We start from the raw sequence: 27,700 nt of genomic DNA, 5'->3' as shown, positions 1-27,700 counted from the left end.
GGACTTTGGGTGTGGCCTTTGAGGCTGAATGGTGGGCAGTAGAGTGGGATTCCAGGCAGTAAAGATAAGGTCTTTTGAAGTTTCTAAACATGAAATAACCAGCTTGCTTTGTTAACTAACTGCTGTGTAAAGAATGCCCTTGGGATAGAAGGAAGTTAGAACTAGATAGGAGGGTTTTGTCATTATTGAGGGTCTAAGGGCAGAGATAACAGCTTCAGAGGAAGGGCAGTTTGCAGAGATACTTTTTAGAGGTTTGAGCAGTTTGATGATCCTTTGGAGGGAGAAAAAAGTGGGAACTCAAGGGTGATCCTGCAGGTAGTAGCTTGAGGACTAGGTAGGTAGATGATGACAGCAGTGAAAGGAGACGTTTCATACAGGGAGTAGGGAAGGGAAATTGATGAGCTCACTTTCTAAAAGTTGAGTTTGAGATGCTTGCAGAGCCTCTTGACAGAGCGGCCCAGAACTGCCAGTGGAACTGTCTGTTCTGTTGGAAATGTTCTGTGTCCATTGTTCATTATGGCACTAACTAGTCACATGTGGCTATCGAGCACTTGAAATTTAACTTATGCAACTGAAGAACTGAATTTTACATTTTCTTTAGTTTCAATCAATTAAAATTTAAATAGCTACTTGTGGCTAATGGCTACCATTTTGGACAACACAGGTCTGGTAAGTATTGGTTGGAAATACTGGTCTGGAAAGAGTGCTAGAGGTAGAGTGATTAGCCTCCCTGGGACTGGGAGGTTTCCTAGGATGCTGAACTTTCAGCGCTAAAACTGACAAAATCCCAGACAAAGCATGATTCTTATTAACCCTAGCTAGAGGTGTTACTGGCTTGTAGTTACGAACTTTAGTTGTCACATTTCTGAAACAACTAAGTCTACTCAGCTGCCTGTTGGGCTGGCTATGTCATGATTTGCAGCTTGGAAAGAAAACTCCTTTTCTTGGCACTGAGGAGTTAGAAAATAGAAAACCAGCATGATTCTTGAAACACGTGCTCTGCCTGATATTCTCCTTGTTTTCTCCACCATCTTCCTTTTTCTTCCATTCTATATTGTTATGTTACAGCCCACTTTGGCTGTACATTGGAATTACCTGGGGCTCTCACTTCTAAATATATATATGTGTGTGTGTATGTGAGTGTGTGTATATGCATGTATGTATGTATGTATGTATGTATGTATGTATGTATTTATCTATCTATCTATCTATCTATCTATCTATCTATCTATCTATCTATCTATCTGGATGCCCAGGCTCTACCCCAGAATAGTTAAATCACAATCTTGAAGCAGGAGGGGCGAGGCATCTATATGATTTAAAAGCCCCGCAGGTGATTTTAATGTGTAGCCAGGATTGACAAGTACAGCTCTCAGAAGTGCTTTTACTTCTTTGCCACCTTTCTTTACTGCAACAAATTGTTTGCAGTAGATCTTTAGCCCCTTTTCTCCTCCCTTTATTTGGTGGAGGATAGAAGTACCCTGGAAATTTTTCCTGTCTGCCATGCAGGACACTTCCTTTGTCATAAACACAGAATTTGAGGTACTTTGCTGTATGAGTAATAATAACCATAGCTAACATGTTTTAAACAGTTAATAAGCCCAAATACTCTTTTATATGTTAACTCATTTACTCTTAATAACAACACTATGAGAGATGTATAATTATTATTCCTATTTTCCAGATGAGGAACCTGAGACTCAGAGAGATTAACTGATTTGCCCAAGGTCCCCTAGCCAGTAAGTGCTCGGCTGTCATTAGGATGTACTTTTTAATTACTGTCCTATATAACCTTATAGTACAGTGAAATATACTGTACCTGTAAATCTGAGAGATGAAGTCTTCTCGAGCTCTCAAGCTGCAGCTATCTTTCATATGCTGAGAATTGGTCAGATTCATCTGTTCTTTTTTTTTTTTGAGACAGAGTCTTGCTCTGTTACCCAGGCTGGAGTGCAGTGGTATGATCTCGGCTCACTGCAACCTCCGCCTCCTGGGTTCAAGTGATCCTCCCACCTCAAGCCTCCAGAGTAGCTAGGATTACAGGCGTGTGCTGCCATACCTGGCTAATTTTTTTTGTATTTTTAGAAGAGATGCGGTTTCACCATGTTGGCCAGGCAGGTTTTGAACTCTTGACCTCAAGTGATTCCCCCCCACCTTGGCCTCCCAACATGTTGGGATTACAGGCGTGAGCCACTGCGCCCGGCCAGATTAATCTCTTTAGCATTGGCAAATTCAGGATTTGGAGGATGTCTCTGATGGAATCACTTGAGCTGTGCAAGCTCAGTTTTTAAAATTTTCAGACTGCAAGCCAGTTCTGAAACAAAAAGGCAGCTTTCTCTGCGACCCCGTAACATTGCCAAAAAGGAGCTGAGTAATATAGATCACTTCAGTTTTTGCCAGTTTTGCTGAAGTTAGGGTTAGGGGTCCACTGTGATACATATGTGTGTGTATGTGTGTGCATGTCTGTGTATGTGTTGTTTATGGTAGTGAGCTTGGTTTTATTAGCAAGGGGTTGAATTATTCTCATACTTTCCCTTTCCTTTCCTTATACCTTACTTCAAAGTTGTACATAGTCACAAGAAAGCATGTTTTCTGTGATTTTCATTAAAATATGATAGTTCAAAGATTCTTAATTGTTTTCATAAATACTCAGTAATTGGGAGCCTACAATGTTTCATCTGGGTTCTATTGTCAGTATAATGGAAGAATAGTACTGGTATTTTAAAAAGACTTCAAAACCATTATCTGATGTTTTAAATAGAAAAAATTTCTTAATGTCAATATAAGATCATGGGTTTCTGTTTGTTTGTTTGTTTGTTTTTGAGACGGAGTCTTGCTCTGTTGCCCAGGCTGGAATACAGTGGTGCAATCTTGGCTCACTGCAACCTCTGCCTCCCGGGATCAAGCGATTCTTCTGCCTTAGCCTCTGAGTAGCTGGGATTACAGGTGCGCGCTACCACGCCCAGCTAATCTTTTTGTATTTTTAGTAGAGACGGTGTTTCACCATGTTGGTCAGGCTGGTCTCAAACTCCTGACCTGATGATCTGCCCGCCTCACCCTCTCAAAGTGCTGGCATTACAAATGTGAGCCACCGCACCCGGCTGAGATCATGGTTTTATAAGCCTTTATTGTTCATTCTGTATGTCTGTAAAGTAGGTCACCAATTATAGAACATTAAATAAATTTTGGTTTTTTCAACTTCATCTATAGATACTTTTAAATGTCAAGTAACCTAAAATCAAAGTCTTTTAATAAAATACTTATATATCTGTTTTTTGAAACAATTTAAGATACAGTAGTAAGATGTGGGATCATGACCATAGACTACCCAGTGGTGGTGTAAGTGAATATTTTTAGAAGATCTTACTTAGTTCTTGTTTCTTTCAGTTAAAAAGGTGGGGACACATTTTATTGGTTTTTCAGCTCCAAAGACAATTTAGTTTTACTTAGTTCTTGCGGTGCGTGTGGTGGGGCTGATGAAGAGCTGGTGTGCAGAGAGCTTCATTCTAGGTCAGTCAAATCTTTTTCTGTTGAAAATGTTTTGTTTCGTTTTGTTTTTGAGACAGAGTCTCGCTCTGTCGCCCAGGTTGGAGTGTGCTGTGGTGCGTTCTTGGCTCACTGCAACCTCTGCTTCCCGGGTTCACGCGATTCTCCTGCCTCAGCCTCCCAAGTATCTGGGACTACAGGCAAGTGCTACCATGCCCAGCTAATTTTTGTACTTTTTGTAGAGGCGGGGTTTTGCTGTGTTGGCCAGGCTGGTCTTGAACTCCTGACCTCAAGTGATCTGCCCACCTCGGCCTACCAAAGTGTTGAGATTACAGGCGTGAGCCACCACGCCCAGCCTGTAAATGTAATTATTTTCAGAACTATATCTTTACATGTACACATTCACCTATTTTATGGACTAGTTTTCAAGGATTATTTTGGGATGTGGCTTCAATAAAATTGTCTATTCTTGTTTAAGTGGTCCTGGTATACTAATAAAACTTCTGGACATTGGTGATATAATCTCATAAATATTCGCCAATTTAAATTTGGATTTTAGGACTTTGGTGCCACCATCACAGTAGCCATTCTGAACCCTTTCGATCACCATAGGAGAAAACAAGGCATGTGCTTTACCATGTTAATTGTCTGTTTCTGGGGTGTTCTTTGCCCTAGTGGTTAGAATCATACATTTCTGGAATTAAGGACCAGATTATCTGGGATGTTCTTGGAACCACTGGTTTCGGATTTTTTATTTCTGTTTCTAGATTATTCATAGAAATAGGAAGCTCTGTTTTTTTGTTTTTTTTTCTTTCTTAAAAGAAAAACTGAGGGTTTTTTTTTTTTGGTAGATAAATCCATAAAGCAAAAGTTCAAATTGTGACCAGGCTGGGCAAAATAGCAAGACCCCATCTCTACAAGAAATTTAAAAATTTAGCTGGGCATGGTAGTATGTGCCTGTAGTTCCAGCTGCTCAGGAGGCTGAGGTGAGAGGATCATTTTGAGCCCTGGAGTTCAAAACTGCAGTGAGCTATGATGGTGCCACTGCACTCCAGCCTAAGTGACAGAACAAGACCCTGTCTCTTAAAAAAAGAAAATCAACCTGATGATTCACTGACGTTCTGGTGCCAGTCAAGAAGCCAGCCCTGGGGTGAGCAGCAGTTTTAGACTTACTTCAGATGTTCTGCTCTGTCATTGATCTTAGGCCATTCTTTTTCTTCTCACTTCATGTGTTCAAAACTTTATATTCTCAACTGTAGGGATACCTAAAAATGGTGCTTTGATTAAAGATGAATGTGGGGATTTAGGTTTCGTTTTTTTTTTCTGGGCAGGGGCAATAAACGATTTTAAGTACACAACTTTCCCCTCTACCTAGTGGATAATATTTTCAAACAGTTTAACATATCTTCCCCATTTAGTGAAATGAGTCTGAATTTCTGGTCGTGACTGACAATCTTGTCTGAAAATAGTTGTTCTTAGCTGAATCCTTCATAAATTTTTTGCTTTGTGAATAAAGCAGACGTGTGACATTGAGTCGAGTGTGCAAACCTACTCTACTTTCTACAGGCTGATTTTCTAAATAAATCTCTGATTACAATACCACAGACTAATAGTGCTGGGAGGAACTTCAGGGAACACCTGCCTGAATCCTTTCACAGGACCAAGTGCTGAGCATCAGAAAGGAGAAATTGCTTGTCATCTGTCACCTCTCCTGGATCATGGGTGTTCCTAATGACCTAGGGAGAACTGAAATTTAGTTTGGTGGGCTCATGTCTCCTTTTTCATCCTTACTGTTAAAAGCAGGAGCCCAGCCGGGTTTGGTGACTCGTGCCTGTAATCGCACTTTGCGAGGCCAAGGCAGGAGGATCGTTTGAACCCAGGAGTTTTGAGACCAGCCTGGGCAACAGAGTGAGACCCTGTCTCTACAAAATAAAAAAAATAAAAAGCAGAAGCCCCTTTTCTGCAGCCTCTTCTCCACCCTACCTCAACCTAGTAAGAAGACTATGGGGGTTAGTTGGATTCCCCAGGTTGCCCTGCAGTAAACTTTTGACAGTGTTGTAATGTTGCTTTCCTTTTTTCTTTTAGCAATAGGCGAATATGAAGACCTTAGAGCAGAGAACCAGAAAACAAAGGAGAAGGTTTGTACTTTACCTTTTTTTTCCCCTTTCTTACATGTGTAAAAGCCTAGGCGGCATAGTGCATTGTTCAGTCACCAATTTCAGTTAAATGTGAATGAGGGTTGTTTTTTTCTTTTCTTTTCTTCCCTTTTCTCTTGCATGTGTGGTTCAAGCTAATACCAACTCCAGGCTCCAGATGGTAAAGAATAGCAGGCATGCCACAGTGGGTGCAGCTCTGGGAGATTAACTACATGGCTAAATGTGCAGCAAGGCACCAGGCCAAGCAACTCAAGTCCCCAGGAATCGTACTTTTTCCCTAACAGTCAGATTTGGGATTCTGTCAGTGGAATTGAACACTTCATACATGTACTGTTGGGACCTAGACACATTGGGTCCTAGAGAAAACTCTTTGGAATTAGTCATTGGTGTTTCGCCCCAATACCTCCATAAATCTTTATATGTCTGCTTCTTCTATTTATATGAATAATACACTGGAAGTTGAGAAGCATCCACTGTGAAGGTGGGGAAGTCTGGTGAATATTTTCAGGGGTTCTGTCAGTTTTGTTTTAACTGTTAAATAATTGAATTCTACTTACCTTACAAACTATATCCTTATCACTGAAAATATCTAAGATTTGTGAATGCTTGCTAATATATATAGCTAATAATATATATATATATATTTCTTGTAAATTTAGGGAGGAGACAAATGGAAGAACAGACTAAGGTCAGAAACGTAGAGGGACTGAATAGCAAAGGAAAGAAAGCAGACTGCCTATTTTCGGTTTTAGATATAAAAAAAATTTACTTTAAAAAATTACTTTGTTGGGTAGGCTAAATATTTCAGAACATAATATCCCTGACCAAAAATTAATAAAACAGGTCCTTTGTAGATATTAAAGAAGAAGATAGCCATCACTGCTCTAAATTGTGAAACCTCATTTTTAAAATTTCGGAGTAAGAGCTGTAATAAAAACTGGCAGCAAGCTAAATATTTGTAAAACGTATGGGATATTTGGGATCACTTATTGGGCTCTTTAGAATTATATTTAACTTTTTCACTATTAATTTGCCACCTATATAGCTGTAGTATGGATGGTGATATTAATGGTAAGTACTCCAGTTTGAAGCCGATTATAAGGGATTTTTAGATCATTATTTTTCACCTAGTTTTAAGGCTCCTTTGCTCATTTGTAAATAAATCCTTGGTGTTCTGTGAAATCCTAAGTTTCTTCTCTTGCCTTCATCAGGTGATTCAGGGAATGGTAGGTGGAGGTGATAAAAACATCCATATTAGAAGGGGCTGGTGCTTGCATCTATAATATGGTAAGAAGCACTTTGGGAGGCTGAGGTGGGAGAATCACTTGAGACCAGGAATTCAAGACCAGCCTGGACAACATAGTAAGACCCCCATCTTTACAAAAAAGTTAAAAAATTAATCGGTCATGGTGGCATGCACCTGTAGTCCCAGCTACTTGCGAGGTTGAGGCAGGAGGATTCCTGGAGCCCTAAAGGTTGAAGCTGCAGTGAGCCATGATTGCACCACTGCATTCCAGCCTGGGCAACAGAGTGAGATCTTGTCTCAAAACACACACACACACACACACACACACAGAGTAAGAAAGTCACTGAAAATAGTAGTTTGGCATGATTTCTAATTCCAACCCTGTAACCATGCAGAATCACAAATGTCCTGAGGACATAAACAGGTAAGGAGGTTTTTCTTAGATCCTGGGCCCCTGATGCCCCAAAATTCCAAAGTAAACCTAGTGGGTAATGCTTAGGCTGGATAACTTGAGCATCTTGCTCTAAGATACTCAGCTATCTTCCAGCTGTAGGAGAACAAAGAGACTGAGATGATATCAGTCCCTGAGTCTCTTTCGTAGCTGCTCCTGACCCACGAGAAGAACAAAGCAAGTTGGAGGGGTTAATTCAGGAGCACTCTTTGACTTAACCTAGAAGGTAAGAGAAGGGAAAGCAAACAGTTGTCTTCATATAATAGAGAAAGAAGGATGATAGAAGAAAATGAATAATGTAAGAGGAAGTAGATAAAATTTTTTATTTATTCTTCTTGTTTAATCCTTGCTTACATGTAGACCTAGCAGTGCCCTAAAAATACATAGTAGATGCTCTGTAAACATCTGTTATTGGTGGAGATGATAGTTGTTTAACTGACAGACACTTTCTCAGTGAGGTTTTAAGTGAATCATCCGTTATGCAAGTGGAATTATAGGTAAAATGCATTTGGTAAAAGGAGGATTATAAATTACCTCAGCCCATTAACTGTTTACATGTTTCACTGCATAGAGTATGGCCTAATACTTTCATGACATCTGTAGGCATTATTGACCTGCTTCTGTTGTAATTCTTTAAAAATAACTATTAACAGAAACGGGAAGAAAAGAAATGAAAGCAATATGGAATGCTGTGTGGTTGGGTAAAACAAAGTAGAGTGGTTTTAAGTTCACTGCACTCTGTTTATCTTCTGTTAAAAGACTAGCTTGCTTATTACTGCAGGTTTTTCCTCAAAAAAGGGGGGCTGTATTACAAAGGAGGGAAGCATATAATAAAAGCCTTTTATAGAGTGTAGAATGAGTAAAAGCAGCTTTAGTTCCGGAGGTGGTAAATGGAGAACAGCATTTTCTCTGGGAAAGCACTCTCTTGTGCCTGGCTGGGTGAGCTTTGTCCAGTTGACATCAGCAAATACGTATGGCCATCCTTTCATTCATGGCCCCAAACCAGAGTGCAGTTAAATCGTTCAGGGACAGCAAATTAAAGTAAGACTCCTTTTGCCATGGTTAATTTGATGTAGGGAAATTTAGAGTGAACAGAGGAAGCAAAAAAATAAATTGCAAGGTATTTTTTCCTTCCACATGTCTACTATCTTTGTCCCCAGGTCATGAACCTTATCAATGGGAGGCGGCGGTGGATGTGATTCCTTTGGGCAGGATCTTTTCCTGCCCTGTTTGGACTCTCTTGCGTTGAGACAAGTGGTCTGACATGGTGCTCTTCAGGGAAACCAGTTGTTCAGAGGCTGCATGGTGTAAGAAGCTGCTATAGGACATCCATGCTCTCTCATCTCCCTGTCTCATGCTCTACACAGCAGTGTGTCTGCTCCATTTCACAGAGGAAAGAACAGTACCCCAGGGCTTGAGTGAGGTTCCCAGTGTTACACAGACCATGGCAGAGTCTAGATTCAAACATGGGTCTTCTGAGCACGATGTTCTTTTAGAAGCAGGTGAACAGTGGGAGCTTATTGACTCTTCTTCTGCAAAGGTCCTAACTTTATTCTAATTCTGTATTGTTAGTGCATGAGTTTTCCACAGCAAATTATCAGACCCGATCCTTTTCTGGGTCATTTATCTTTACCAGCTATTGGTTTGTGTTGAAAAACTGAAAGTTGAATATAAGTATCAAATCAATCTTATGTCAAAACATTCACATGTGTTTGTATATGTATGTGTGTACTTGTATATATACATATAGATTCTGGCATAATGCATCCCAAGGATAAAAGCAGGAAATTTGGGGCAGGGGGAGTGGACCCATGTTTTGATGGATATTTTCTCTTTTTTTTGCAGTTCTTCCATTTTAGGAAAACTGCTGACTCTTTTATGTTTTTTTTTTTTATCAGTGACTTTGAGAATGGAGTCAATTTGTTTGAGTTTATAAGGAAAGCTCTTTTGAAGGGAAACCTTTTTATTGAATGCCTTCTGAGTACTGGGGTATAAAGAAAAATATATGAAGGTCCTACTCTTGAGTAAAACCACTCTAATGAGGACCTCAAATAAGTTGACAAATAACCACGATCAATTATGCTGCTCTGTGAGTGCCTAGAGCATGGCTGGGCAATGGACAAAGAACAAAAAGACAAGGTTCCTACTCTTTTCCATGTGATAACTTTTTACTAGCCTTTAATGCTTGCCTTAATAAATGTCACTTAGGTTTTTCAAAGTCTTCTCTAACTCTCTCACAAGCAGAATTTATTGCTTTTTTGGTAATAAGACATCTGCATATTTATGTATGTATGTATCACATTTATCAAGCAAAATTTATTGTCAAAATATTAGAGTATAAGCAAATGATGTGGGTTGCCTTCAAATGTAAAAACAGCGAGTTTTTTTAACATCAAGATAAATGGGGATTATGGAAATGGTGCTACTTGCTAGTTTCCATTATTTTTTGCCCATTTTCTAAGTGGACTTAGCAGTATGTGAAAAAGTAAGAGCCTATCATACTGAGGTGAACAACTCTTCAAATTTATATTTTTGGGGTATAGAAAAATAGATGACTATATATTTTGCAATCAACCAAATAAAATGGTTTACTTTGCTTGTGTAGCAATCACCATATTCAAATGTTAGTCATGCCTCCACAATTGAAGGGCATTCTCTTATGACTCACTCAGGATCTTTATCATAATCGTTTGGGTTTTTTTCCTATATGGGGGGAAAGCGTCATTGAGCTTTGAATGGAATAGCTTTCATGTTTCTCAGAGTGGTGGGGGTGGGGGTGTGTGTGGAGTGTGCGTAAAAAGAAGGAAATCTGTATAATAGAAGAATGTCTGCCTTTAAATAGTAAGTATTTATGTTTAGTATTATGTTCTGAGATCAAGTTTTGAAATGCATAAATGTTTAAGTGGCTGATTAGAAGTCGTTTGGGTGAGCTACTGTAACAGTGCATCAGGCGGTTCTGTCAGCTTGCCAGGAACAATGAATGAAAAGAGAATGAGACAGACACTTTCCAAGACTTATGTTTCAAGAAGCAGGATATATGATACTGTTTGCATCTTGGCTCAGTTGTCTATTGTTAAAATTTCTTCCTCTTGTGTAATATTCAGAGATGAAGGTCTCAAAGTATTTTATTTTTTAAAAAAATCAATAAAGAAGCCACTTTAAAGAGCAAGATATGCATCCATTATGCTAACTGTTCATGCATAATACATCCACATACATGCAGTTTCTTTGAGACAGAGTGGCAAGTGGTTGTGCCAGAGAAAAAGTAATTACTTAGCAGTTTGAAAGTGAAAATGAGTCTCTTATTAACAGCAATCTATCTAGAAACAAAGAGCAAGGATCTCTGTTCTGATGACATGTGTTTCCATCTAACACACAATACCTAGAATTTGGAGAATGCTGCAAGACAGCTTTGAGGGCAGCTACCACTTCTTTTTTGCCTGTGAAAATTGGAGGGAAAGAACTTTGAATTGGAAGAAAGAAGAACACCAAAAGAGAAAGAGAGTGAAAGGAATTCCATCCTAGTGGGAATGATTTAATGTGTTGTATTCTTTAGGGATAAGAGTGTAGAAATCCAGAAAGCACAGTTCTGGCCAGACTTACATAGGTGGAGCAGTAGAATTGTCGACTACTATTAAAAATGAATTGATGGTCCTTTCATTGTATGCCAAGGATTCTTAAACAGGTAAACAGGTAAAGTACACACAATTCTGATGCTGGGCATGTTTAAATCTTTAACTGTTGTAACTGGACATTAATGAACTTCAAGAAAAATGGTGTAGCATTAAACTTCTTCAGACTTAGTGGCGTTGTAGGCTCTGCTGTACGTTCCTTAGGAAATGGGTACATGTTTTGTTCAGTTCTGGTTTGGCAGTATTTCTCACATTATATCGGGTGTCCTTATGAATTGCTTACTTCATTTGTTGATCTTTTGTGGTAGATCATAAGTTTTTGTGAGAACACATTGTCTATTGTGTTCATGTATTGTGCCCAGTGTTTAACATAGTGGCTGGGCTGTGTGGGCCCTGTATAAATTTGTTCAGTTCTCAGAGGAGGAAATAATGACATTCAATGATTATAGTAGATACTTGCTTAAAAGTCTGATTCAGTCAACTGTAATGTACTTGCGTATGTATAGATTGTTCCCTGTCTTGGTATTGTGCATATGCAGTGCATATATGCACTTCTTGGGCCCTGAACTGCCCTATCTATAGGCTAGCAACCCTCTGATGCATTTGTGCACCAGGAAGACAAGCATGAATATTTATATTAGTGGAAGTTAGATACAATTTAGAATGTTGAGGTTTTTCTTGCATAACGTATACGTACAACAGAATATAAAGATTTCTTGGTATCTGTATCAGTTATCTGTACTTCTGCTGAGCCCTTTGAAGCAGACATTTTGATGTTGATGGTAGTTGGATGAATACGTGAGAGAGGGATGAATAACTGAGCTGCCCATTTTAGGGAGTGGGTGGTGCAAGGAAGATACTAATTCACACTGGAAAGGCTGTTTCTCTACAAATCAGTCTGCCAATGCTCAGAAATCCTGGTTTAGTTTCAGAAGCCAGGTATCTGCCTGGATGAGGCTCAAGGAAGAGATATGGAAAATAGCCAGGGCTTCTAATATTAAGGGCTTTCAAAACCAGCAAGGCCAACCTCCGGTCAATTCATCCCTTCATAAAGAGCCAAATAGAGACTCTAGAGTCGATGTAATGTTATCCAGCTTGCTTACATGAGCCAGCAGTTGTGCCACTGGGTTCTACCTCAGCCTTGAGCTACAGAGAATCGTTGGGCATCATAATTAAGTGATGTAGGCCCAAGAACATCTGTTGCTATTGCAAAGTCTTCATGAGCAATTCTCACACAAAAAGAAGCAGTTTTTACAAATGGTGCAGCTGCGTGAGCAGGGTAGAGGAAGGGGTGGGATGGGTGAGGGGCTTCTGTGTGGTGGAAAGATGAAACATTCTTCCAAAAAGGCCCGTTATCCTGGCTGACTTCCCTCTGTTGATAGAATGAGAGAAAGTTTGCAAGATTCTTTTCTGGGTTCACCTAAAAAGATGAAATAAGTGGGTGTTTGGATTTCTGCTTTTAGTAAATGCGTACATCCTCCATATTTTGCTCAGTTCTGGTTCAGAATAAGTAAGCTGCATTTGCAGCATGTGTAGACTCTCCCCACCCCCAACTCACACCCCTTTCAGCATAACAGATGGTAAATTCTGTGGCTGCCAGTTCTAGCATAATGTGGTTGCAGAAAATAGAAAGCAAAGCAACATGAAGACCCCTGATAGAACACAGCTGGGGATGGGAGACAGCTTGTGAATCTGCTGATGATAACCATAGGATTAGTGTGAACCCATATAGCTGGACTATAGAAATGGGCTACCTGCATGTTGGAATAAAACTGATGTTGAGACCTGTTACTAATCTGAGCTTGTCTACCTGGGCCTTAATAGCAGAGAGCGTGGACCTGACGTTTTTCTTCTGGGCAACTAGTACAAGCCTACCTAAAATTGTCATGCATCACATTAGTGATTGTGTATGATGTCAACTGGTGGCCTTTTTCAGATCTGACTAGATAGAGCACCATTCCTGTTTAATGCTTTTGCCATCCAAAGTCTCACTAAAAACTCTGGCTATTTGACTGAAGCGAGAATTGAATAAACCTCTAATTCCTTTAGGTAGAGCTTCGAGAGCTACATAGAGGGAACCAAGTGACATTAAGTCAGGAGCAACACTCCCAAGTGCCAGCTCTTAAATGAAGACAGTTTTTTACAAGACATCTCACATTTTTCAGAAATGCCAGATTAAGAAACATTAAATTAATTTGAAAGTAAAGCACCAGATATATTTCACTTGGCAATCATGACTCAGGAGTTTGAGCCTAGTCGGAAACTAGGTTTCTTTTTGTGCCTTATGCTACACTGTGCATTATTGGAGGAAGGTAGACAGACTGGTAGGGGTGGTGGGGAAATCCAGACCAAACAGAAGCCCATTCTAGAAAATGAGAGGAACATTCCTGAAACCGCTAGCCAGAAGTCTCCTATCATTAAGGGTTATGATGTCTAATGTAGTCCGTTTGGGTTGAGGAAGGAGCTAAGAAAAGCCTATATGCGAATTTAGAACTCTACTATTTCGAATTTTAAACACCAAAAAATCATAAATGTTGTTTGTTTAAGCTGAAACTACAGACTATATTAGACAGAATTATTATTATTTTTTACAGAGGATGGGATTGCCACGGGAAACCTTAATCAAAGAAATGCCTTCTCCTTTGGTAAATAAGTTAGGTCCAGCCTAACTCATTTTGACTGGGTGGGGGATCCTGAGTCAGGATTTAGTAACCAGATTTGCTAATTTAACACTGTGTACTTGTTTCATGTTCTCTTGCCAGAATACATTTACCCATATGAGCAGGTACAGTATGACATTTCAGTGGTTCTTTAGTGACTAAAGGGGAAAACTGAACTGCAAGCTTCTTACTTATTTTTAAAATATTTTGAAAGGACAGGAAAGGGCAGAGAATAGTATAACAAATACCCATTGCACAGAACTGTTATTTCTCTTGAAATTCAAAAATAAGGAATGCAGCAAATACAACTGAAAGTTCTCACCATTTCTAGTCCCATTCCCCTCCCTGTTTCCTAAGAGACAACTACTGTTATAAATGTTGTATATTTCTTTTTATTTCATATTTATATATATTAGATGTATCATAAAGCATATATAAATATATGAGATGCATTTGTGTATGTAAGATATTATTTGATATATCTGATATATCTTCTGCAACTCATTTAACATGATGGTTTGTTTTTTTTTTTTTTTGAGAGTAAGTCTCTCTCTGTCACCAGGCTGGAGTGCAGTGGCATGATCTTGGCTCACTGCAACCTCCGCCTCATGGGTTCAAGCAGTTCTCCTGCCTCAGCCTCCCAAGTAGCTGGGAGTACAGGCGTGTGCCACCACGCCCAGCTAACTTTTGTATTTTTAGTAGAGATGGGGTTTCACCATGTTGGCAAGGATGGTCTCGATCTCTTGACCTCATGATCCGCCTGCCTTGGCTTCCCAAAGTGCTGGGATTACCGACTTGAGCCACCGTGCCCGGCCAACATGATGGTTTTTAACGTTTATGTTGATACATACGGCTTTATTCATTTTCACTGCTCTGTAGTATAGTGTATGAACATACCATGATGTACTATTATTAAAAATGTGGAACATTTTTGTATATGTTATACATTACTAGAGATTCTCTGGGTATATACACCTAGAAGTAGAATTGCTGAGTCATAGGGAAGTATGTATTCAATTTTGATAGAAGTTTTTTTCCAAAGTAATTATACCAATTGACACATCCATCAGTGGTCTATGAGATTTCCTGTCTCCTGGTATCAGATTTTTTCAGTTTTTGCCAGTCCGATAGGTGAGACTATCTCATTGTTTTTATCTGGATTTTTCACATTATGTGACATCATAATTTTTTAGCTATTGAAAATCGGAATTAAGAACATCCAAAGGGATGAAATTCCTATATATTTATATGGCAGGTTAGCAATCAAATATAATTTAAAATTGTGCTTTATTCATATGGCACTCTTAGGGAATAAGGTATTCCCAAGATAATACATTTAAAATTACTACTCTAATAGCTAGAAATTACTTTTTAATGTTTTAGCTACTTGTGGTGAATATCTTGTTATATATCCCTGTTTTATGAAATTCAAGATATACTGAATTCAGTCCTTATAATAATAAACATTAGGTTTTTTAAAAAAATTCATTAATGCCTCCAGGGCCTATCAATACAGGAGATACTTGTTTCTATACCAGATACCCTAAAAGGTCCTTATGCTCTAATAGTTATTTTTGCCTTTTATGGTCTTGCCTCCCAAAGTCTTTTCAGTGAGTTCTCCCACCTTTTTAAATTAAAAATCGGTTTATATAAATGATATGTGCTTAGTATGGAATATTTTATCTTCTCTTCTTTTAATTTGGTACCTTCCTCTATTCCGAATTCTGAGGACACATGGATCACTTTTTCTTGGGTGAGAGTGTGTGCCATGTGGCTGCCTTTTGCCCTCATGCAGTAGTCTTTTTTTTGAGTCAGAGTCTCACTCTGTCGCCCATGCTGGAGTGCAATGGTGTGATCTCGGCTCAGTGCAACTTCCACCTCCCAGGTTGAAGCAATTCTCCTGCCTCAGCCTCCCGAGTAGCTGGGATTACAGGTGCGCACCACCACGCCTGGCTAATTTTTGTATTTTTAGTAGAGATGGTGTTTCACCATGTTGGCCAAGCTGGTCTCTGGCAAGGCTGGTCTTGTACTCCTGACCTCGTGATCTGCCTGCCTCGGCCTCCCAGAGTGCTGGGATTACAGGCGTGAGCCACCACGCCTGGCCTGCGGTAGTCTTTCCATTACCTCCCAGGTATGCACCAATGTTCTGGGTAGTTGAAGCTGTTTGGAATCAGACATGTACATGAGTGACTATGTACAGCATTAGCCAAACATAAAAATAGGTACAAACATTCTCTTAAAGAATGAATATATTTTAACTCAAGGATGTTAAATCGGGCTATTACTGAGGAGATAATGAGCAGGAAGGTGACTTATATCTTAGAAGGTCTGAGAAAATTGGCCAGATACAAATGGCACAAACACCATGCTGGCTGAGCAGTGCAAGTTCATATATGACCATTGATGCTTTTCAAAGGTTTTAAATTTTGTTTTGTTTTCAGAAAATTGCTGTTGTTTATAAGTTTGCTCTTGCTTGCCTTTTCAAACTTAAAATTTATGATTGAAGTTTAACATTTGTTTACTTCTCTCATTTCAGTGTGACAAAATTAGGCAAGAACGAGATGAAGCCGTTAAAAAACTGGAAGAATTTCAGAAAAGTACGTAAGCATTTCAGTGGAATTATTATAACACATATAGCCTATTGGGGATTATGTGAGTAGACTTATACCCTATTGAGTTGCTAATGTCCTGGTCATACAATCAAGAAAGCAAGACTTCTTTCTATTTGTCCAAACATGCCCAGGCATCACTTTAAGCTTTAAAGAACTGGAATAAACATCATTGTTTCATCAAGGGTGTTAGAAAAACCTATACTTGTTATAAAACAGTTTAACTATACAGAAAAGTTAAAGGAGAACAAAAATGCCTTGTTGGCTCCTTGAAAAAGGCCAGTGCTAGTACTTTATAATCTGTCCTTGTTGGTCTTTTATTTGTGTAGTAAAAAATGTAATCGTGTTTTAAATTCAGTTTTGCAGTCTGCTTTTTTCAGTAAACAGTACTCCTGGTCATATTTGCATGTCAGTACAGATGTACATCAGTTTTTTGTTTTTGTGTTTGTTTGTTTTTTTGAGATGGAGTCTCGCTCTGTCACTAGGCTGGAGTGCAGTAGCAAGATCTTGGCTTACTGCAACCTCCACCTCCTGGGTTTAAGCAATTCTCTTGCCTTAGCCTCCCAAGTAGCTGGAACTACAAGCGCACACCACCATGCCCAGCTAATTTTTGTATTTTTAGTAGAGACGGGGTTTCACCATATTGGCCAGGATGGTCCTGGTCTCTTGACCTCGTGATCCTCCTGCCTTGGCCTCCCGAAGTGCTGGAATTACAGGCGGGAGCCACTGCGCCCAGCCTGTACATCAGTTTTAATGTTGTCCATAGTATTCCATTATAGGATAGTACCATAATGTATTTAATTATTCTTTCATTGACAGATTATTCCTGGTTTTTAGCTATTATAAATAATGCGATGGCAGGTATTCTGACACTTACATCTTTACAGTAATCTAAATAGTTCCTGAGGTTAATTCATATAAAAGGAATTACACTGGAGATCCACTATAGAGCATTGTGCCTATAGCTAATAATACTGTGTTGTATACTTAAAATTTACTAAGAGGGTAGATCTTACGTTACGTGATGTTACTACAAAAGAAAATAAGTAAATAAAGAGGGCAGAAGGAAACTTTGGGAGGCAATGGATATGTCTGCAGCCTTGATGGTGGTGATGGTTTCACAGGTGTATAATAATCCCCCAAACTCATCATGTTGTATGCATGAAATATGTATGGCTTTTTACATGTCACTTATACCTTAATAAAGTGGTTCAAAAATAGAGAAAAGGAATGATAGCTTCATAGAACTTAAACATTTTTAAGAGTGTGAATGTTTGAAATAGCCCTCTCACTGAAGAAAGTTACATTCCCACAAAAGCTGTACTTTCCAAATTTTTGCTATTTTTTTTATGTAATGTAAATCTGTTATTTATCCCCTAAGACAGCATAGCTGATCAGACCCAGAGGGACCAGATGGAAATATGTCATAGGCAAAGGGTCAGACCGTAGCAGGGAAAGTGACCCCCTCCCTTGGAAACAAGGCCTTTCTCCATCATTCTGCAGATGTTCTGTCAGTCAGGGTATTTGATTATTTATAAAGAGTTGATTTGGTAACTACACAACAGAACATTTTATTCTAGTTAAAACAGCCATACAAATGCAGCATTATGGTTAAATTTCAACAGCAAGTTTACTTCAGTGTCTGGTTGTAACAGAGAACATCCAAGGGGAATCTTATTGATATTACCTGTCTTTGGAGGCCAATGTGCTATGCTAGAAATACCTCTTATTTGCAAATGTATGAATTCCAATTATATGGTACTTTTTTACTTATGGAATGTACTTATTCTTAGAGTTATACCATTGGCATTGTTACCGGTTAATATGCTTGAATTATTGATAATGGATTGGTGTGCAGTGGGAATAGTTCAAGTTCCTTATGGTTGGGCTTATAAAATATTTGGTCTAGGGTTTATAAAATATTTTGGTCTAGGTAGGCAGTAGGGACTTTGCCTCCTGCATTATGCAAAACCAGAAGCAACATTCCCCCAAAATCAACCTTCGAAGTAACATTTAAATTCTGCTTTCATCTGCCATTTCTCTTTTCCCTTTCTTTGTCTCTTCCTCTGAATAACTTTGATAGTTTTAAAAATTTACATTTTTCCTTATGAGCAACTCAAAGCCTGAGAGGATTGATTGGAAGATTAGTACAACAATCTGTATGGTTGTATGCATTTAGTTTTTACCTTTACTAAGTGTCTTTAATTAATTTAAGGTTTGGATGTTAGGAAAACAGAGTACTAATTCTTTTTTTCTTACTCTCTTGGTAACTCACAGAACAACAGAGTGCCAACTCTTTACTCAGTCTCAAAAGGAGAGAAAACAAGGACTTGGCCAGGCGCAGTGGCTCACGCCTGTAATCGCAGCACTTTGGGAGGCCGAGGCGGGTGGATCATGAGGTCAGGGAGATCAAGACCATCCTGGCTAACACGGTGAAACCCCGTCTCTAGTAAAAATACAAAAAATTAGCCAGGCGTGGTGGCGGGCACCTGTAGTCCTAGCTATTTTGGACTATTGAGGCAGGAGAATCACTTGAACCAGGGAGGCGGAGGTTGCAGTAAGCCAAGATCTTGCCACTGCACTCCAGACTGGCGACAGGGTGAGACTCCGTCTCAAAAAAACCCCAAAAAAACAAAAAAAATAAGGACTAAGAAAACTTTAAATATTTGTCAGAAAACTGTATCTGGGATAAATAATTCATGGCTTTTGAGCAGAGGGTAGAATTTCAGATTTGGAAGGGAATAGGCAGTATTTTTATCACCAGTGAAGAGCATTAGTTTGTGTGAATCCATTTCTGCGTTAATAAAATTGGTATAAATGACCTTGCTTCATATACCATTTGAGGGTGAAAAAAGATAATCTGTATAAAAAATGCTTAACACTGTACCTGGCATATAGTAAGTGCTCAATAAATATTAGTTGCTACTACCACCATCTCATCAACTAAAATATCCAATGCCTGATTGCCCTTCAGTATTAAGAGTTCATATCATTTACCTTTAGGGAGTTAGTTCTTTGACACCAGACTCCACATTTGGATAGTGATGGAGGAAGTTTCTTTTGGTGCTGAGTTGAAATCTGAAATCCCTGTAACGTTAACCTACTAGGCCTACATCTTTTTTTGAGACGGAGTCTCATTCTGTTGCCCAGACTGCAGTGCAGTGGCGTGATCTCTGCTCGCTGCGACCTCCGCCTCCTGGATTCAAGCAATTCTTGTGCCTCACTCTCCCAAGTAGCTTGGATTACAGGTGTGTGCCCTCATGCCTGGCTATTTTTTGTATTTTTAGTAGAGATGGGGTTTCACCATGTTGGCCAGATTGGTCTTGAACTCTTGACCTCAAGTGATCCTCTTGCCTCAGCCTCTCAAAGTGCTGCGATTACAGGCGTGAGCCACCACACCCGGCCTAGGCCTACGGAACAGCTGACTAAGGGTTAGGAAAAGCTTTGTTTGGCCATAGGGCTCTACTCTCCCTAGCTTAGCATACTTTTCCCAGGATAAATGTTTTTATCCATATGTCCATGTCATTTTTGATCCTCGCCAGCTCTCTCTGAGCCTTCCTCCTACACACAAAGAACACCACTACATAGCAAAGCTGCATTCCCTAGACCGGATTCCTGTGAAAGGTAACTAAAGACCTTTCATATCTTTTTATTTATTTATTTATTTATTTTTGAGATGGAGTTTTGCTCTTTTTGCCCAGGCTGGAGTACAGTGGCGTGTTCTTGGCCCACTGCAACCTCCGCCTCCTGGGTTCAAGTGATTCTCCTGCCTCAGCCTCCCAAGTAGCTGGGATTACAGGCAGCTAACTTTGTATTTTTAGTATAGACAGGGTTTCACCATGTTGGCCGGGCTGGTCTCGAACTCCTGACCTCAGGTGATCTGCCTGCCTTGGCCTCCCAAAGTGCTGGGATTACAGGCATGAGCCACCGCGCCCAGCCCCTTTCATGTCTTTTCAGCCACAATATTAGATCCATTAATCTGTTTTAAGGACACACCGATTTTCCTACATATATGCCAACTTTCATGGCTCTTTCCTTACCACATGGAAAACTTTTGAAGTAGTGTGATGTTGAAGAAGAATTTGTGATATGTTCACCACATATGCTTTAGAGATATTCTACATCTAAATATCGCTGGGAGTTAGAGTTGGGAGAGATTTGCTCTAGAAGCAACATCATTGGTGGTGACACCTTGTATAATGAATTAGAAAGGACTATAGAAAAGTAGAGTCACCTAGAAATGGTTTTAACTGGGTTTTACCAGTTAGAACTCTGTGATTTGGAATATGTTATTTAACTTCTCTGGGCCTCCGTGTTCTCAAATATAAAATTGCTGTGATGATCCCTACGTTATAGGATTGTTGTGAGGCTTTGTGAAGGAGGGAACACATGTAAAGAGTTTAGCACAAGGCTGGACACATAGTCAGGCTCAACAAATGGCGATGGTAGTTGTTTCCTAAGCAATTCTATACTACAGAGAACATTCTCATAAAAGGCTGTTCACAGGCGAGCTTAGGCCTTCAGTCCTTCAAATAGACACTAACACGAGCACCTGCTTTGCATGTAGCATTGTGCTAGGTGCAAGAGAATCAGACATGTAAAACAAAATCCCTGCTCTAATGTTCATAGTGAGTAGAAGATAAAAACAAGTAAAAAAAAAAAAAAACAGTTACCCTACAATGTGATGTGTACTACACTGCCATTTATGTAAGACTGCTTTGAAGTCATAGTTGAAGAGAGACAAACTTCGCTAATTCAAGTAGACTAATAGAAACAATACTTGATGTACTTTTATGTTATACTTCTATGTTCTCAGGGTCATTAAAATTTTTTTACTATGAAAAATTTCAAAGTGATGCAAAGGCGGGAAAATAATTTAACGAATCCCCATGTTCCAGTTTTCTGGCTGCAACAGTTGCCAACTCACAGCCAGTCTTCCAACTGTACACCCATACACCCACTGTCACTGACCTCAGATTGCTTTGGAACTAATTCCAGTCATCATATCATTTTACTGTTTACTGCCTGGAAATATTTCAGTATATATTTCTAAAAGATTAGTAGTCTTTTCTTTTTAACATAACTGCAGTATTACGGACACTTTATTAAAAGTTCATCTTTTTTCTTTTTTAAACCTCATGTCATCCAAATATGCAAATATGACAAGTACAGTGGCCATGGATTGTGGATATCCTGAGACAAGCCCAATTCAGAACCATAGGGCAAATTATTACATGAATAGCTAAACGTTTAAAAAACTTTTATTATGGCCGGGCGCGGTGGCTCACGCTTGTAATCCCAGCACTTTGGGAGGCCGAGGCGGGCGGATCACGAGGTCAGGAGATCGAGACCATCCTGGCTAACACGGTGAAACCCCGTCTCTACTAAAAATACAAAAAAATTAGCCGGGCGTGATGGCGGGCGCCTGTAGTCCCAGCTACTCGGGAGGCTGAGGCAGGAGAATGGCGTGAACCCGGGAGGCGGAGCTTGCAGTGAGCCGAGATTGCGCCACTGCACTCCAGCCTGGGCCACAGAGCGAGACTCCGTCTCAAAAAAAAAAAAAAAAAAAAAAAAAAAAAAAAAAAAAAAAAAAAAAAAAAAAAACTTTTATTATTCAAAATGTGCAAATAAATTTACATATTAAAAGTATTTCTGTTTTGCGTCATGTGACTTGACTTTTGGTTTTGGAAATGGGGTCATGCTTTTTAAAGATATAATCACCCTTTGAAATATACTCTTCCCATATGAACCTAGAACATTGGTAAGTAGGTTGTTATGCTACCAGTTTAGCACTGGAATAATTTCTTAAACTAAAAATTAATGCGCAATTTAAAAAAATGTCTACTGTTCTCTCTTTGAGAAGAAATAAAAACCCCACCAGATGGAGTGTACCAAATCAGAACTGGAGAAAATGTGAGCAAGGACTACCCAGCTATGTTTATCAAGTTGAATCACAGGGCACCTTTTTACAAAATGTTCAGAAAATAAATGTTTTTTTTGTTTTGTTTTGTTTCCTATTTGCTAGGCCTAAACCTCACTACTGTGGAATGAATTTTCTTACTCTTTCAAGAGCAAGAATGTTATTGAATAAAAAGTAAGATTCCTATGAAAAATGCAGAGTGTTTATGTTTTTGTTATGATAGTGGAAATACCAGATTGTGGCAGAAGATGTCAAGTAGTTAAGGCTAAAAATTCAAAGTAATATTTGATGTTGTAAAAATTGTATAGGTTTCTTTTCTCTTTCCTTCACATTTTTGAAGAACCTACCTTGTAAACATAGTGATAAAATGCCAGGAATATTAGGATTTTAAGGAAATAATAGAGCCTATTATTTAAACTACAATATAAAAGGCAATTATATTGATGAAGAGCTACATGGGCTTTGTGTGTGTGAATAAACTTGGCCTGTGTTCAGCTTCTATTTGTTCTTCTGGCATAAACACATATTGTGTGTGATTCCAGTTTAATGGGGACCCGTTTGTATGCCAAGCAGCTGCATTTTAGGACCTATTGCGTGATTTCATAGCTCTCTGAAAATTGGTTCTATTCAGAACAAGAGATAGAAGAGAAGAAGGGGGGTGATGTGGAAGGGGGGGGGAGCTTCAACACACAATCATTTCTTTTCAATTGGAGCCAGAAAGGTTGATGACAACATGACCATTGTGTTATAATGATAAGACCACTAAGGCATCTGTACCTCTCATCAAGGCTTTCACACAACAGCAGATACAATTTAATTCACTGCTCTGTCAGCAGTGCTGATACCATTATGCCGTCTGTCTCCACAGTTATAATCACTGTCCTCTGAGAAATGCAGTTGAAATGATCTTGAGCAGTCAAAGAAACTCTCAATTAAGGCTGCCACTTCCAATGTGTCAGATTGTGTCTTATGCACTTGGTACAATTTTCACTTCCAATCCTGTTTATTTACAATGTCTACCAGTAATTACGCTTAACGTGTCATTTAGTGAGGGGGGCCCCTGCCAAGCCGATTGTTGGGTGCTGCTGTACCATTGAGTGGGAGTTTCTCGAAGTCAATGCCATCAGCAGCTTTTAGGCCCTGATGGGATGCAGTAGTAATGTTGATAATGCAAGTATCGTGCTCATCAAGTCATAATTAGATGCCACTCAAATGTGCCACTTGTAATAACAGTGTTGATTCATGTTTTTCTCGGTGACTGCAACTACTAATTAGTTAAGTGGTTTTTGGTTGGCCTGCATTTGCTGCAGATTATTATTACCCCTGAAAAAATGTCAAGGTTAGAGATGTTTCTGGCCATTTAGTGCTGCTTTATGAATTTGAATATTAACATAATAAGAACTTTGGACAGACTTAGGAAGTAATACATTTTTGTATTTAATTTGGAGAGAAATTTTTTCCCCTGAGTTTAATCATAATTGCAGGTTAATTAAGCTTAAATGAAGCAAAAGTAATCTCTCTTTGTGTTATGTGAGCCCAGTGCTTTTTGCCTAACTTTGTTGGGTTTCACATTTGGGTGTCCTTTAATTTTTTTTTTTTTAAGCCAAACAAATAGCAATAAGTAATGTCTACATTTAGGGTTGAGATTCTGAGAGTTTTCATTTAACTAGAAATATGGGTGGAAGGAATTGGCATTTTTCTTTCTTGATCTTCAAAATATAACTCAAGTTCTAAATCACTTTATACCTGTAAATCTCAATTTACATGCACCAGCTGTCAAAAAATCTAAAAAATACAATTTTTCGAGCATTGGTGACATATCAAGTAAAATTTTATTTTTCTTCTAATGCTTCTGATAGCCTATGATTCAGGAAGTAATTTATTAGCATCTGCTTTATAACCATATAGTACATAAATCTTACTGCTATACTTTTCTGCCTGAGAGTTACTTATGAAATAGCAGTAACTACTTTGTAGCTAATAGAGACAAATGTTGCAGTACTTAGCCAAGTCGCCACATCACTACTCCAGTCATAAGATCAATTTAAGATTTATTTTTCTTTTATTTTTTGTTAATTTTTCTTATTAGAGCCATGTGTTATACACTGCTGAGAAAAAGAAGTCATGCTGTCACTCCTCTTTATTTATGAAATATTCTTTTGTTTAAACTAGCACATATGTCTATGGATACATATATAGTTGCATAGAAAATAGACTTGTAAAAAAATCTAAATAGCGCTCTTAAAATGTACATAATAAAATGTATGTATGTGAAATGAATGTATTTTGTTGTGTTCTTGTTTCTTTCTACATTCAAATATTAGCTCAGATTTAATCAGGGCAGCTTCTCAAAAACCTTTTTTCAGTGATAGCTAAAGGTCTGGCTAGCCAAAGAATTGAAGTATTCTTAATCATGGGACGATGCGTGGGCTCCTGGAATAGCTGACTAATCTTTGAATGCTGAGATTTTTTTTCCCCCTCATTCCTAGTTTCTCACATGGTCATAGAGGAAGTTAATTTCATGCAGAACCATCTTGAAATAGAGAAGACTTGTCGAGAAAGTGCTGAAGCTTTGGCAACAAAGGTGAGACTTCAAATGAAGGAATTTTACCTGAGCTTTTAAATTTCAACTTGCTTTTCTAAGCAGTGGCTTCTATCTGGTTTTGCTTTTCTACTTCTCTAATCGATTATCTACTCTGATGATGAGGGAAATGTTAAAAGGCCTCAGAATCCTGGAATATGATTATGTAAATATTCACCTTAATGCAAAGGTTATTCCAAATTGTAAAAGGAGCATTTGTATGTGAGTATTTCAGCATTTGTGCTTTTTGCCTGTGAAAATGTGGAAAAAATGGTCCCAGAGTAGTGTTAAAGGGGACTTTGCAAATGTCCATGCATTTGGTTAAAATGCTAACCAAGTTTAAAACTAACCTGGTGTGACATAAAAGAGCAGTGAATGTCTCATATTTGAATCAGATGAAAAAGTCACCCTGAAGCCGTGCATTTCAGGTGATTATTTATGAAAGCAAAGCGAGGGCATGCTGAAGGTGACCTCCAGTGTTCCACTGATTGCCTCTTGCTGATGAATTTACCAAGTGTGTAATTTTCTACATTCTATCTCATCAGAAGTACATTATTATTAAAGAATGTTTTTTTTATCTCTGTCTTATGTATTTTGGGTTGGGTAAAATGCATCTGAACCACTTCATCAGAAAGTGGATTACAGCAATTTTCAACCAAATTTCATTAGTAATACTGGTTGTGTTTCTTTTCCCTCCCCTCCATCACCCACCTCCGAAAATTTCTTTGGATGTGACTGAAATCCTACTCTCAATAAATACATAAATAAATGTAATTTGTATGCATTAACAGTGTGCTTCCTAGAGGTATTTGCTTAATTGTTTGCATAACAACACTACATTAGAATTCATAAGATATTTAATCAGGACCTAACTAAGAATATAAATTTGGGTATGTAACTTCTCTCCTGTTATTCATCTGAAGAATACACAGCAATACACTTTAAAAACACTTTTTAAAAAATGATAACATGGGTATTCTCACATCATTTTTACTCTGCGGCACATTCCTAGAGTTCACTAGTCCGTAATGTTGTGTGAATTCTATTTTCATTTTTGAATTTCTTTCTTTGGAATAAGTAGAGAAAAAGTACATTTGGAGCCTGCTAGCTGCTCTGAATCTTCTAGTGTCTAAGGATATACTCTCTATTTTTTCTTGTTATTAACAAGTATTCCTGTTGTCATAGCACATCCAGAGTGAGGATACTGGCTACCTTTCAGGATTGGCAGAGTTTATGGAAGGCACTGGTTTGTGGGACAGTATATACAGGTTTTGTTCCTGGTTATGTAATTTTGGGCATATGTGATTTTGGACAAGTTAATTTTGTTCTCTGGAGTGTAGTATCTCATCTTAAATGACATGATGGACTAGAGTTAGGACTGGAGTTAATAATTTATTTGCATATGGCCCCTTTTAAAAAATTACTTTATTCTGTCTCCCCTTTTATTTAATAGGTGTTTTTGGGCAAGAGAACTCACCTCTCTGAGCTACAGTTGTCTTGCTCTAAATGCCAGGATGGACCATGGTTGGCTTCATCATAATACCCCAGATCCATTGGCTCTAGATGTGTGGCCCAGGCATGTGCATGTAGAAAAGCTGCCTGGTGACTGTTATATTCATTGCTCGTTACGAACCAGTGTTACCTAATCTCTAAGCTCATTTTTACAATTAAGTCTTAATAATAGGATCCTTACCTAACACTGTTTGTTGCCTGTTCTTTAAAAACCCTTTTTTAAAATGAACATATAGTTTATTTTTGAAGATATAGTATGAACTCATGGGGCCTAGAAAAAAATTTAAAAAATGGATTAAATCAAATACTATAAATGTGCTTGTTTGTTGTGAAAGACTGCTTTGAATGCAAAATGTGGAAACTTCATTATATGTGTGACTTCATTCTGATTTAAGTATCAATTGTCATTTTTGAAAGGAGGCTTTCAAAAATGCTCATTTTTTTTCCTGAGAGCAAAGTTTCTATAAATTCTTATTTTTCTAAATTTTTGCCATCAAATTAATGACAAATGGAATGTTTAATTCTGATGATGCAGCTTGACCTCGTAATTTTCTTTTTTTTCTTTTTGAAATGGAGTCCTGCTCTGTTGTCCAGGCTGGAGTGCCGTGATGCCATCTTGGCTCACTGCAACCTCCACCTCCCAGATTCAAGCAATTCTCCTGCCTCAGTCTCCCGAGTAGCTGGGATTACAGGCATGTGCCACCACACCCAGTTAATTTCTGTGTTTTTAGTAGAGACAGTGTTTCACTGTGTTGACCAGGCTGGTCTCAAACTCCTGACCTCAGGTGACCTGCCCGCCTTAGCCTCCCAAAGTGCTGGGATTACAGGCGTGAGCCACTGCGCCCAGTTCCTCATATTTTCTTAGAAGCAAGTATGGATACTTTGCTTTGCTAAAATGTGTAGATTAAACTGATAAATGTGGACCAGTTATTTAAGTCATATGATCCAAAGCCATTAAACTTGCTTGTTTTGTACCTTTAAATAGCCACTAAACTGGACAATATAAAAACCCTATTTACATTTGAATATAATAGTAGGTTCTGTTACTGTAGGGTTATAAAAGATATATTTTTGGCTGGGCACGGTGGCTCACGCCTGTAATCCCAGCACTTTGGGAGGCTGAGGTGGGCAGATCACCTGAGGTCAGGAGATTGAGACCATCCTGGCAAACATGGTGAAACCCCGTCTCTACTAAAAATGCAAAGCTTAGCTGGGCGTGGTGGTGTGTGCCTGTAATCGCAGTTACTCGGGAGGCTGAGGCAGGAGAATCGCTTGAACCAGGGAGTCAGAGGTTGCAGTGAGCTGAAATCACGCAGCTCTACTCCAACCTGGTGACAGAGAGACTCCATCTCAAAAAAAAAAAAAAAAAAGTAAAAAGATATATTTTTGCCTTAGACATAGAGGGGTTCCAAACAACAAGTAGCATGCAATTAACCTATAGCTTGAT

At 38.7% G+C, this 27,700-nt stretch overlaps 1 protein-coding gene across 5 annotated transcripts in view; it reads left to right on the top strand.

Annotated features, from left to right (window-relative positions):
• The window catches only part of SHTN1 (shootin 1), a 245,110-nt gene that overhangs the window by 141,707 nt on the left and 75,703 nt on the right, over positions 1–27,700 (top strand). For 4 of the 5 annotated variants that reach the window (NM_018330.7, NM_001127211.3, NM_001258300.1 and 1 more), the window contains 3 exons: positions 5,572–5,624; positions 16,168–16,228; positions 24,650–24,744. In NM_018330.7, coding sequence (NP_060800.2) covers positions 5,572–5,624; positions 16,168–16,228; positions 24,650–24,744 — 209 coding nt within the window. The remainder of the gene's footprint in view (positions 1–5,571; positions 5,625–16,167; positions 16,229–24,649; positions 24,745–27,700) is intronic. The other variant, NM_001258298.2, reaches the window with a different exon arrangement.

Source organism: Homo sapiens, chromosome 10 (genome assembly GCF_000001405.40).
Source record: "Homo sapiens chromosome 10, GRCh38.p14 Primary Assembly".
Classification (NCBI taxonomy): Eukaryota; Metazoa; Chordata; class Mammalia; order Primates; family Hominidae; genus Homo; species Homo sapiens.
This window is presented reverse-complemented; position numbering and strand designations above follow the sequence as displayed.